The 13,415-nt window shown below is 37.6% G+C and overlaps 1 protein-coding gene across 3 annotated transcripts in view; it reads left to right on the top strand.

The window, feature by feature from the left end:
* Positions 1-9,866, top strand: part of NDNF (neuron derived neurotrophic factor) — a 36,923-nt gene extending 27,057 nt beyond the window's left edge. For all 3 annotated transcript variants that reach the window (NM_024574.4, XM_024454212.2, XM_024454213.2), the window contains exons 3-4: positions 5,425-5,549; positions 7,822-9,866. In NM_024574.4, coding sequence (NP_078850.3) covers positions 5,425-5,549; positions 7,822-9,215 — 1,519 coding nt within the window. In that variant the 3' untranslated portion in view covers positions 9,216-9,866. The remainder of the gene's footprint in view (positions 1-5,424; positions 5,550-7,821) is intronic.
* The last annotated feature ends 3,549 nt before the right edge of the window (positions 9,867-13,415 follow it).

The following is a 13,415-nucleotide window of genomic DNA, read 5'->3' as shown; positions in this document are numbered from 1 at the left end:
GAGGCTGTTTGATTCTTGCTGATTGTCATCTCCTTTTGCGTGTAGGAGGCAATGCTTGCATTTCTTACATTTTGGAATGATTATTTTCTTCTTTTCAGTACAGGAGGATTTTTTTTTTTTTTTCCCTGAGACGGAGTCTCGCTCTGTTGCCCAGGCTGGAGTGCAGTGGCACAATCTCGGCTGACTGCAAGCTCCGCCTCCTGGGTTCACGCCATTCTCCTGCCTCAGCCTCCCGAGTAGCTGGGACTACAGGCGTCCTCCACCACGCCTGGCTAATTTTTTGTATTTTTAATAGAGACGGGGTTTCACCATGTTAGCCGGGATAGTCTCGATCTCCTGACCTCGTGATCCGCCCTCTTTGGCCGCCCAAAATGCTGGGATTACAGGCGTAAGCCACTGCGCCCGGCCTCAGTACAGTAGGATATTTCTAAGAAGGATTCTGTAGGATTAAAGTGAAATCAATTTTCATGAATATGTATGATTCTTCAAGAGTTTGCATTAAGTTTTGTTTCTGAGACAAGGTCTCACTGTGTTGCTCAGGTTGGAGTGCAGTAGCACGGTCATGGCTCATTGTAGCCTCAACATCCCGGGATGAATCAATCCTCCCACCTCAGCCTCATGAATAGCTGGGACTATAGGTGTGTGCCACCTTTCCCCTCAAATTTTTAAAATTTGTAGTAGAGATGGTGTCTCACTATGTTGCCCAGGCTGGTCTCTAACTCCTGAGCTCAAGTGATCCTCCTGCCTCAGCATCCCAAAGTGTTGGGATTACAGGCATGAGACACCACACTTAATGCATTATGTTTTATGAGTATAATATTTCTTCAACAAATATTATCATATTCTGAGAGAATCAAACTAAACAGTCATAAAAACTGACACGGTTTATTTACCTTTACTCCAACATCAACAAATTGGGCTCACATAAAGTTTCTAAATATTTTGACCTTTAAAATATATATATATATAAAATAAAAATAATATGTTATAAATTAATTACATTTAAAGTTACCTATTTTGTAGTGCTCAAACTCTTCTCCCTTTGTAAGTTTAGCACACACAGTTAATCTTTGGATAATTATATTTCAAAACCAGTTGCTCCTTCTAACCTGGGATACAGTGAAATTCCAAAGGATTAAACTGTTTCAGAACATCAATAACCCATTTTCTAGAGATTGAGATATATCAGATCATTAGTCATCTTTTCAGTTTTGATTAACAGTAATCATGGAAGATGGTGGTCTGAACCCCTTCCACTCAATGGCCCAGTCTTATCTCCATCTGGTTAGTCAAAATGATGATAGGTGATCAGTTTTCCTACATTAACTAGAGTGAACTATTGTTCGGATTATCATTTTGGCACTGCTCGAGTAAAATTATTTGTTTGCATGAACACACTAGACTAGTAACTGACTTGTCAATAACATATAAAATAATTTTGAATCTTTAAATGACATTCATGGGAGTGAAGGCAGAAAAGGAAAGGATGATTACATTGAAGGAACTTGCTCTCTTGGTCCTGACTAAAATTGAGTCTGTGAAAACAGTAAAAGGCATACAAAGCAGTCATAATACTTCAAGTTAATCTTAACTATTAACTGAGTTCTTGCTGGGCACATTTGGCTTTTCATATTATTTTGTCCTTTGAAATTTACGTGTGAGTGAAATCAAATCAAAATTTTTCTGTAGAAATTACTTTCATTTCCCAAATGCACTTGGGCACTGCCTTCTTTGCAATATACTTTAAATACAGCATTCCACATTATGTAATCCAATCACTTAATTAAATGATTCATCTTTCTTTAGTCTTCCAGTTTCTTAAAAATTAAATAAGTTTTGCCTGTAAGAGCTGTTTTAGAAATTACACTTTTAAAGTAAAGCGCCATGTTTTTATTAAGAGACATTATAAAACAACATTTTCTCTTTTTATTTCTCTCATTTATTCATTCTTTATATTTATCTTTTTTCCGCCAATGATTATTGAGGCCCTTGGTATCCACAATAGGAAAAAATGTTAACATACACTAGTAAAAGCAGACTTATGCTAGTAAAGGATTATAACCACAAGTAGAAACTTCATTTCTAGGGGTGAAATATGTAATGATAAGCACACAAACATGTTGTTGATATTCCAACTAAAAAAAGAAATTCCAGATAAAGTTGCACAGCAGTAAATTTAAAAAGACAGCAAATGCATTAATTATTCTTACGTTTATACATAAATTCCAAAGGCTAAATGGCTCATGGTGTGCTTATCCCTCAGCTTTGGCACTATAATTTGGGCCATGTTTCCTTAGTTATTAATTATGTTTCTGTGTCCCTCACTAGCCAGTAAATATCTCGAACATGTAGATTATGTCCCGTCATCTCTGATTGTCACTCTCTTCTACAGTTGCTTTGTGCATGGTAGACAATAAATATCTGTCAAATTGTTAAGTATATTCAAATTATCATTTATCCCTAATCATAAGTGCTTCCATATGAAAATGTTAACTTAGAGGGTCTCCCTGCTGCTTTATATGCATAATCATTATCTTGTGGAATGAAAGCATTGTTTTATTTGTAACTGGTCACCTATGACCTACGTTTAAGTTACTAAGACACAGTTTTGGAAATAAACTACTTCCTTGTGTGAAATGAGAACAGAAGGTAATAGACAAACTTGTACATTGTTTTCTTCTGTGCCGTTGCTTAGCTCTGTTATTCACATAAAACCTAAAATCAAACACGAAGTTTTGAACACTCTTTTACTTATATGATGCCAAACTAGTTATATTGTTGTACCTATTCCTTTGTAATATAGATAGGTTCAATTATGTTTATGTGGTTAATAACTCCCATGCAATCTGGCCAAAGGGACAAAATTCTACTCACAAAAAGTAGACTGTATTAAAAATTAAGCCTTCTGACACTGTTCAGGAATGCTTATGGTACATTAAACTTCACATACAGTAAACAATTCAATCATCTATTTTGTCTAGATGATTGTTTAACTTTACTGTTATATGAATAAGTTGCTTTTGCATTTATAGGGTCTTCACTTTATTTGTCTGCCCACAGCCCCACTCCCATTCTCCATCTCCAAAAGCATCTTTGAATGGTGGTGGCTGGGGGAAGTACTTGTATTTCAATTCAGATTCTATATCTTCAGATAGAAGGAGACTCTAGGTGTATGAACCAGGCTAGAACAAGAAGTGTGGTGTTAGGATTCTTAGGTTTTATTTACTTATTTAGTAATTCAATTATTTTAAAATGTTGATCAAGTACATACATGCAGAAACCTGTGCTAATTGCTGGGAATACAAAGGCGTGATAAATGAACCCTAACAGGGCCCTTGTGAGGAAAATGACATTAATCAAATGATAATACAATTATATAGTCACAAGTAACAATAAGTGCCCGAAAGTAAAAAGTATAGGACGTTCTGAGAATGCATCAGAGGACCTGATCCAGAGTGAGTTGGAAAAAGCATCCCTGAAGAAATGACTCTAAATGTGAGTATGAGTCACAAACCTCTGTAGTGACAGGGCCTCTGCCTACCTCACCTGTTTCTTGTCCTGTCACTACCCACTTAACTCTGTGCTCAAACCACAAAGTACTTCTCTAGTTTCTGAACCCTACTCACCCTACCGTCTATGGGATGTGGTTTTCTCTGCCTGAAAAGAACTCCTTTGCCCCAACTCACATGTAAAGTCATTTCTTCGGGGATGCTTTTTCTTTAGTCTCAAAGACTAAAATAAATCTCAAGGAATGTTTGTTGGATGAATTAATGAGTAGTTTCCCATACCTCCACTTTCACCACCTCCGAATCATTCCTTAAAACTGCAGCAAGAGGAATCTCCTAAAAAAGCAAATGTACTATGTGATTTCCAGCTGAGAGTCCTATCGGAGCTTTAGGTTTTAGCCTTAGGGAAAAATTCCTTAATTGTATGAGCCTGGATGAGGTCACACAGGGAGTGAGCATAGGTAGAAAAGAGACGTTCAAGCACAGTCCTGTGGTTCACTCCCAACATTAGAGTTCAGGGAGGTGAGAAGGAACCAGCAGAAGAGACTGCTGGGGTCGGAGGCTCTGGTGGTCAGTGTTGGTCAGGGTTATGGAGAGAATAGGAAGGCAAGAGATATCCAGGAGGTTCAATCCACAGGAGGCAAAGCCTGCTTTTCTCTGCATGGAATCAATGAGCAACTCTGGGCTTGCTGGAACTGAAACCACTCTTTCCTCATTGGCAAGATTATAGGTTTTGAAAGATAATTAAATGAAACCATCTAAGTCATTTGGAGTAAGAGTATATGGTATTTCTATAGTTAAGCAATATTTTTATTCTTTTTAAGGCATTACAATAAAGGCTCAGGGGAAAGCACAGAGTAGAACATTTGATTTTTTAAATTTTGTTTTAAAATCATTAAGTTATTTAATTCAACAGAAAACCTGTGTTAGAGAAATGTGTCTTTCTACTGACTGACACAGTGCTCTTTACTTTTTAAAGTATTTCTCAAATGGTGATTAGATAATGCGATTCCAAAAGATATGAAATGGGCTAGGCATGGTGCCTCACACTTGTAATCCCAGTGCTTTGGAAGGCTGAGGCAGGAGGATCACTGGAGGCCAAGAATTTGAGACCAGTCAGAGCACCACAGTGAGACCCCCATCTGTACAAAAAAATTTAAAAATTAGCCAGATATGGTGGCACACGCCTGCAGTCCCAGCTACTCAGGAAACTGAGGTGGGAGGATCGTTTGAGCCCAGGAGTTTGAGGCTGCAGGGAGCTATGACCACGCCACTGCACTCCTGCCTGGGAGACAGCACAAGACTGTCTCAAAACAAACAAATAAAAAGATATGAAATAGTAAAGCTGTGAATAAAAGTCACTAATGTAAAAATGTGAATACAGCGTTATATTGCCAGAGACAAACACACAGTTTAGAACTAGGTTGCTGTGAAAATGTTCTTTTGAAATAGTTGCAACTATGTCAGAGTGCCCTCAAGTTAATGTACAAATTTATCACCAAATGTATGGAAAGCATGGCACCTATAGGGCAACAAACCTGGAAATTTTCTTGGTTGTGATTTATTTTGCAGTGGCGGGGCCTGTGTTAAATAATACCAGGCAACAGGTCAGTGTTGATTTTTAACTCAAAATACTTTGGGTTCAATGTGTTTTATTTCACGCTGTATTTGTTGATGATAAATCTGGTTGCAGATCCTTGGGGCTGTTGGACTTCCACAGTTAATGCTGTATCATGTTTTGTGTCAAATAGCCAATTTTATTAAACTGTGTTAAGGGAAAATACAATGACATTTTATGAAAATTTTATAAAATTTATAAAATGAAAAAAAAATTAAAACCAAATGATTTTTCTGGTAAGTCTTGATTGTAAATGTTAGAAAGAATTACCACGGTCTAAAGTGGTCCACTTTCCCACAGGTATTTCTTTGTGGTTGAAGAAGACAATACTCCATTATCAGTCACAGTGACGCCCTGTGATGCGCCTTTGGAGTGGAAGCTGAGCCTCCAGGAGCTGCCAGAGGACAGGAGCGGGGAAGGCTCAGGTAAGCAGCAGGATAGATCTGCCCCTGGACCTTTGAATGGATGGTTTTAATGCTTGTGAAACATACAACCTTCTATGTGTTAGTAAGAAAAGGCAGCATGGGTGCACAAGTGAATCTGGAGGTATGAGACGGAGATAAGGGAAGTGGGAGGGTGGCATCAGATGACACTGATCCTGATAAAATAAAAGGTTAGGAGAGACAGGTACAGGGATTGACGGCTTGAGGAGAAGGGGAGAGGTTTGGACTAGCCTCTATGGCTGTGGTTTGCAATCTTGCCTAAACATCCTAATCACGTACGTATAAGGCTTTAAAAACTGCTGATGCCTAGATCTTGCAAAGGTCTGATTTGATTGGAATGGGGTGAGGTCCAAACTTTGGGATTTTTAGCCACACTCCCCAGGTGATTCTAATATACAGCCAAGGTTAAGAACCTCTGATCTCCAGGGAATAACAGATGGAAACAGAGAAGCAGAGAGGCATTTAGTAGCAGTTAAAGGCCAAGATGAAAACAAAGTTAGTAGGATGAGTGGGCTAAGCATTTAAAGAAGACAGATGATAGAGAGCAAATAAAATAAAAGAGAAATGAGAAGAGTTTGTATGGCACCCTGAAAGCTCTTTAAGGGCATCATAGGTTAAAGGTGAAGGCTTGACAATGGGTGCCCTACAAATGACTATATATATATACATAGTCTTTATATATATATATATATATATATATATATATATATATATATATACACACACACACACATAGTCTTTATATATATATATACATATATATATACACATATATATATAACTATGTATACGTATCTACAAAGGCTAGCTATAGTAGTTTCAAAGAGGGGCAAACATCGCAATTAGGAAAATTATGGAAGTGTGTATGGGGAGTAAAGAGACCAAGATACAGAAAACAAATCTTGATGGGCTTTTTTTTTTTTTTTTTCAGGACAGGGTCTTGCTCTGTCGCTTAGGAGTGCAATGGTGTAATCTTGGCTCACTGCAACCTCCACCTCCTGGGCTTAAGCAATTCTCCTGCCTCAGCCTCCCAAGTAGCTGGGACCAGAGGTGCATGCCACTACGCCCAGCTAATTTTTTGTATTTTTGTAAAGATAGGGTTTCACTATTTTGCCTAGGCCGGTCTCAAACTCCTGAGCTCAAGCAATTCGCCCACCTCGGCCTCCGAAAGTGCTGTGATTACTGGTGTGAGCCACCGCACCTGGCCAAATCTTGATGTTAATATATCTGTTTGATGATTGTGTTTATCCCATAGTTTAGGAATAGGAAATTCTGTATAGCTCACTTTCAACCTGCAATGATAAGCTGGAAAAGGTTTCTTCTCACTGTAGCTACCCAGTCATTCACCAAGCCCTGGAGACTAAGCTATACACTGATATCTGTGTGATATCTGATACTTACGGTAACAAAATATGGAAAAAATTAGTTTAGCTTTACCACTATTCCTGTGTTATTCCTGGGTGCACGTTCTATACTTTGAACCTTAAGCATTCTTTTTTTATTTTGTTTTGTTTTGTTTTATTTTATTTTATTTTATTTTATTTTATTTTATCTTATTTTGAGACAGGGTCTTGCTTTGTTGCCCAGGCTAGAGCACAGTGGTGCAATCATAGCTCACTGCAGCCTTGAACTCCAGGGCTTAAGCAATCCTGCCTCAGCCTCCCAAGTACCTGGGACTACAAGCATGTGCCACTATGCCCAGCTAATTTTTTTATCTTTATTTCTTACAGAGACAGGGTCTCTCTTTGTTGTCCAGGTTCAGCTTCAAGTAATCTTACAGCCTCAGCATCCCAAAGTGCTAGGATAACAGGCATGAGCCATGACACCCAGCCAAATATTCTTACTGGTACTTTATATTGTGTATTTTAATCAGATTGTCTAGTCCTTCTAACAGCCGTGAAATTAGCAAAATGGCTGGCCATCCAAATGCAAACTGATACAATTCTTTTGGTAAGCAGATTGACAGTTAGGATTAATAATGTCTCAAAAGTTTACAGTCTCTGACCTAAAATTTTTACTAATTGGATTCTGCTCTGAAGAAATAATTTATATTCAGAGAAGCCTTACACATATATAAGAACATTATGTATAATGGTCAAAATAAATATTATCTTGAATACATTTATAAATATTTTTACTTATGAACATGTACTATTTTCATAACGGAGAAAAAATAAGATAAAAGGATAACTTAAGGTTGGCAAGCCACAGTGTATGCCCTGACAGTAGCCTGTGCTTCTCCTGTATTTTCTAGGTGATCTGGAACCTCTTGAGCAGCAGAAGCAGCAGATCATTAATGAGGAAGGCACTGAGTTATTCTCCTACAAAGGCAATGATGTTGAGTATTTTATATCGTCTAGTTCCCCATCCGGTTTATATCAGTTGGATCTTCTTTCAACAGAGAAAGACACACATTTCAAAGTATATGCCACCACAACTCCAGAATCTGATCAGCCATACCCTGAGTTACCCTATGACCCAAGAGTAGATGTGACCTCACTGGGGCGCACCACGGTCACTTTGGCCTGGAAACCAAGCCCCACTGCCTCTTTGCTGAAACAACCCATTCAGTACTGTGTGGTCATCAACAAAGAGCACAATTTCAAAAGTCTCTGTGCAGTGGAAGCAAAACTGAGTGCAGATGATGCTTTTATGATGGCACCGAAACCTGGTCTGGACTTCAGCCCCTTTGACTTTGCCCACTTTGGATTTCCTTCTGATAATTCAGGTAAAGAACGCAGTTTCCAGGCAAAGCCTTCTCCAAAACTGGGGCGTCATGTCTACTCCAGGCCCAAGGTTGATATTCAGAAAATCTGCATAGGAAACAAGAACATCTTCACCGTCTCTGATCTGAAACCCGACACGCAGTACTACTTTGATGTATTTGTGGTCAACATCAACAGCAACATGAGCACCGCTTATGTAGGTACCTTTGCCAGGACCAAGGAAGAAGCCAAACAGAAGACAGTCGAGCTAAAAGATGGGAAGATAACAGATGTATTTGTTAAAAGGAAGGGAGCAAAGTTTCTACGGTTTGCTCCAGTCTCTTCTCACCAAAAAGTCACCTTCTTTATTCACTCTTGTCTGGATGCTGTCCAAATCCAAGTGAGAAGAGATGGGAAACTTCTTCTGTCTCAGAATGTGGAAGGCATTCAGCAGTTTCAGCTTAGAGGAAAACCTAAAGCTAAATACCTCGTTCGACTGAAAGGAAACAAGAAAGGAGCATCTATGTTGAAAATTCTAGCTACCACAAGGCCTACTAAGCAGTCATTTCCCTCTCTTCCTGAAGACACAAGAATCAAAGCCTTTGACAAGCTCCGTACCTGTTCCTCAGCCACCGTGGCTTGGCTAGGCACTCAGGAAAGGAACAAGTTTTGCATCTACAAAAAAGAAGTGGATGATAACTACAATGAAGACCAGAAGAAAAGAGAGCAAAACCAATGTCTAGGACCAGATATAAGGAAGAAGTCAGAAAAGGTCCTCTGTAAATATTTCCACAGTCAAAACCTGCAGAAAGCAGTGACCACAGAAACAATTAAAGGTCTTCAGCCTGGCAAATCTTACCTGCTGGATGTTTATGTCATAGGACATGGGGGGCACTCTGTAAAGTATCAGAGTAAGGTTGTGAAAACTAGAAAGTTCTGTTAGTTACCTTCTTATAGAGATATATTATGTAGAACTCCAGGAGGGACATTAAATCACTTTAAGTATAAACTGACTACTCCCACAGTTGAGAGAAGTTGTGACCTGTACTTGTACTATGGAAGGAAGGATATCAACGTGTGTATATTGATGTTTATATAAGTAACTCTTGAAGGAGACTTGTTCTAGCGTGCCCCATGGTACCTAGTGTGTGTCTGATGCCGGTTGGTGTCAAAGATAGAGGGCTTCTTGAAGGAACTTGCCATTCCTTGCTTTGACCACTGCATGAACTGCTTCTAAATTATTTTATTACCTAAAAATTTAAAATATGCCATTCATTGCACACACCCACAAATGCAAATCATTCCTCTCTGTAGATGCTAGGATATATATAAATTATTTTATAAATTCTTGTTTTAAATGTCAGTGTTTCTATGATTGTAAACTATTAAATTCTTTTCCTATTAAAGTACAGATCTAATCTAAGTATTATTAAGTTGATAGCCCTCTAGTCAGTTATATTGCTATTGTAAATTCTTGTTTGTTGAGTAAAATGTTTAAATACTATATGTATCTCATGTACAAAGTTGACATACATTATATTCATGTACATAAAATTAAAGAGATTAGATTATATACTGTTCATTTTCCCAAGCAGCTACCTTGGTGTATTCAATTTCTAATCTGTCCTCAAAACTGCACCTTCTGTAGTTTGGCACCAAAACAGACCCTTTTTTAATAATTAAAAAGGGATGCCCCATCTCTCTAAAGTTACTATGGCATTAGAAATAGTTATTAAAATTTGTACTTTTGACGTTGAATGGGAGCCAGCTGTTAGGAGAGTTAAGAGAGCTACAATAGACTTGTTTTAAAAGAATAGGACAAGCCAAACACTAACTCGACAAGTATTCAACAAATTGTCCTTAATAACCTAAAATATATCACTTTATAAGCATTTATTTTAAGTACAAAATTGAGATATTTCAAGCATTTTCCATCTGTTTGAATCTTAGCAAAATAGTTAATAATTATTTTAATCTCTAGCTGATGCAACTTAACAAACACCAATCAGGACTTTTATTAGTAAGAAGAAAACTAGGAAAGCTGTTGTTTTATAACATTAATGGTCTGCTACTTTTAACTTTGATTTTTCATGGATTTTTTAAAAGTAATTTCAAGTGTAAGAGACAATTTAGGCAAATCATAACATATTTTATCAGAGACTGTGCACAAAGGGCACTTTTAGGTAGCTTCATTCTCCACAGGTTCTATACATAAATCATGAGGTGTTACGAGAATATTGGTCCAGGAATCAGAAAAGTGTGGAATTTACAATCACCTAAAGCAATATGACTTTAAGAAAATCTGTTACCTCCCATCATCTCCCTTTCCCATCTGTTAACATTTGGTGGTGATAGATTTAGATGAGTTGACATTGTTAGATACTTTCTATTATAAGAGGTTGTCTTTGGTAGAATTCTATGATTCTAAAGTGCTGTGACTACAAGTGTGGACAGGTGTAATCACTTTACCTCTACACTGCCCGCTGCATGCTGACACTGCCTTTCATATGGTGGGCATTCAACAGCAACATTCCTGTGGAGTATAGATGGCTATGACTAAGGTAGTGTAAGTGGTGGTCCTTATAAAATATGCTCTGCTTGCCTTAGGGGAAAATAGTTCCTTAAAAACGTTCTCATCCAACTCCTCAGTGTTAAGATATCTAAACAAAAGTGACCACATCTATACACAACAGTAATGACACCTGAAAGAATTTTTTAACAGATAAAGAACAGTACTCCCATGGTTATGTAACCAACCAACTAGGAAGGAGAGACTTTAAAATTGACAACATCCCAGAGATGTTATATCCTAAGTTATGAATGTGCTGCCGTTGAAGAAAAATCAGCTTTCTCATATTACTCACATATATATATTATTACATAACAATGTGTTAAATTGGACTACAGTGAATCAAAGAGTTATTGCAGCTTCTGAAGGTGACAGACTTTTAACTTTCAGATATTGCTTAATGCCTGGGAAACCCTGGGAACCACGCCAAGTCAATTTAACCAAGCTTTTGCTTTTTAGCCAGCTGTGATGGTGGTTTCTACATAGTCTGGATAAATCCAAGAATACTTTCATGGCCCTAGTGAAATTTGCCTTTTTGAAATTATTAGGAAAACGAAATACACATTATGAAACTTCTATCACTCCTAAAGAAAGGGGAAAACCTATTAAAAATGAAGCTCTTATTTACTAATGCATTTCTATTTCAGGAGCATTTGGCTAAACTGGGGACAAAAAACAAAAACTTGTTCTTAATTAACAAAAGAACTAGAAAGAAGCTCATATGAAAGCACCACCTTGTGTTCAGTAAGCTTCAGGATAGCTCTGTTGACAGCAGGGCATTTAGAGAGTCCCAAGTATAGTCATGTATCACTGGGGAGGGAAGAATCTTTGAGGACATCTAGTTTACAATCTTTATTATTTTTCAGGTGTAGAAAAGAGATTAAAGATCATAGAAGTCAGAATAAATTTGTAAAAGTTCTCATAGTCAAAACAGCTAAGTAATGGCATTGCCCAGACTCCAAAATCCTGACCAGAATATAAATCACCAATTGTTGGTTTAAAGGGGTTATTTGTGAATCATTTTCCAAAAAAAGAAGTACACTTTTTGTGTTACTTACCATTTCAAAGAAACTTATTCTTCAAGACCATTTCAGATTTCCTTAGGAATGTATGTGTTACCCATAATTGACCACTTCAAACTTGTAAGAAAAAAAATGTTATGGTCATTTTGTTATTTTTAGAGACAAAGTATTTCTAATCTAGGTTTGCATACAACCTTGAGGCTGTGAGATCATTAGTCAATTGCTTTAATTATAAGCCCTGTTTTTTTTTTAAATCTAAAAACTAATAAACATCTATAAGAATTATAACAGATTATTTTCTTCATTAAATTTGTAATCAAGTTCTAGATTAAATGTTTAAACATGCATTAAAGGATTAGTTCTGAAAAGCACTTATTTTCATTACTCAACACATTTGAAAAAATGATTTTGATATGATGAAGAGACTTAAAAAAAGACAAAGATGAACTTCAGAGTTTGAAAAAGGCTTAATAATTCTCAACAGTTTGAATGAAACCACACATGCGTGCACGTGCACACACACCTACACTTTTGTATATATTCAAGGGATCCATTGTAGCTGAAACCAATCCAATATCTCTTCCAATATTTTACCAATCCCTTCTAGAGATTATCTAGTTCTACCATCTCATTTTACAGATGAGGAAATTGAGGCCCAATTAAGACTAGAATCTAGATTCTCTTACTCCCAGTTTAATGTCCACTCAGGACTTCATCTTAAGCACTTCTTCACTATAGAAAGCATGGGACAACTCACCCAGAGTATACTTCTTTGTCTCTATTCACTGGCTGGCTTCAAAACAACACAAAAGCATCTAACTTGGAGGACAATGTCATCTGGAGCATCTCCAGCCACTTCCTTCCCCCACTCTGATATGGTGTGACAGAGGTACAACTGGCTGGGAGCCTGCCTTCTGGCCCTCTCCCTATGACCAAGTAGAGTGACCACTGCCAGACTTTAGCTGATCTCTATATGTAGTCGACCAAATGACCTGGGAAGCATCAAGGCACCCTCACAACTGTGTTTCCCCAGAGAGTTTTAGCCAGAAAAATACAGAGTCTTTGGGGATTTGGGCCTTTGTTGTTTTGAAAGTGGGAAGTAGGAGAAAGAACAGGGAGAGAAGTAGGTAGGGTGTGAAGAGAAGTATAATTTTATCTCATTTCTTTCTCTGAGAGATCTAAGAAGTCAAGAGACACAAGAGATCCAGTGTAACTTGATTTTATTAATGTTTGCATTCTGTCCTTCATGTAACCTTACGCTGGAGTATTGGACCTGGATCACCATCCTCTCTGTCAGAATTGCGTCTCACTGATGAACATTTTCATTTCCCAGGAGTGGTTGATCATGCATCTTGGCAAATTTCCCTCATTTCTCTTTACAGTCCCCATTCCTGACCTTTGAGAAACAGTCATCAAAGTGTAGAAGTAAAGTCTTTTAAAATGCCTTTCCAGATGGACCCTTAGAACTCTTTCAAAGATATTTGTAAATATTCACTCTAAATGTAATAGAAATAAAAAGCTGTAGATCTTCATTACAGAAAAACCATTAGCT

Source organism: Homo sapiens, chromosome 4 (assembly GCF_000001405.40).
Source record: "Homo sapiens chromosome 4, GRCh38.p14 Primary Assembly".
NCBI classification, from domain to species: Eukaryota; Metazoa; Chordata; class Mammalia; order Primates; family Hominidae; genus Homo; species Homo sapiens.
Note: the sequence above shows the minus strand (reverse complement) of the source record. Positions and strands in the feature narration are given on the sequence as shown.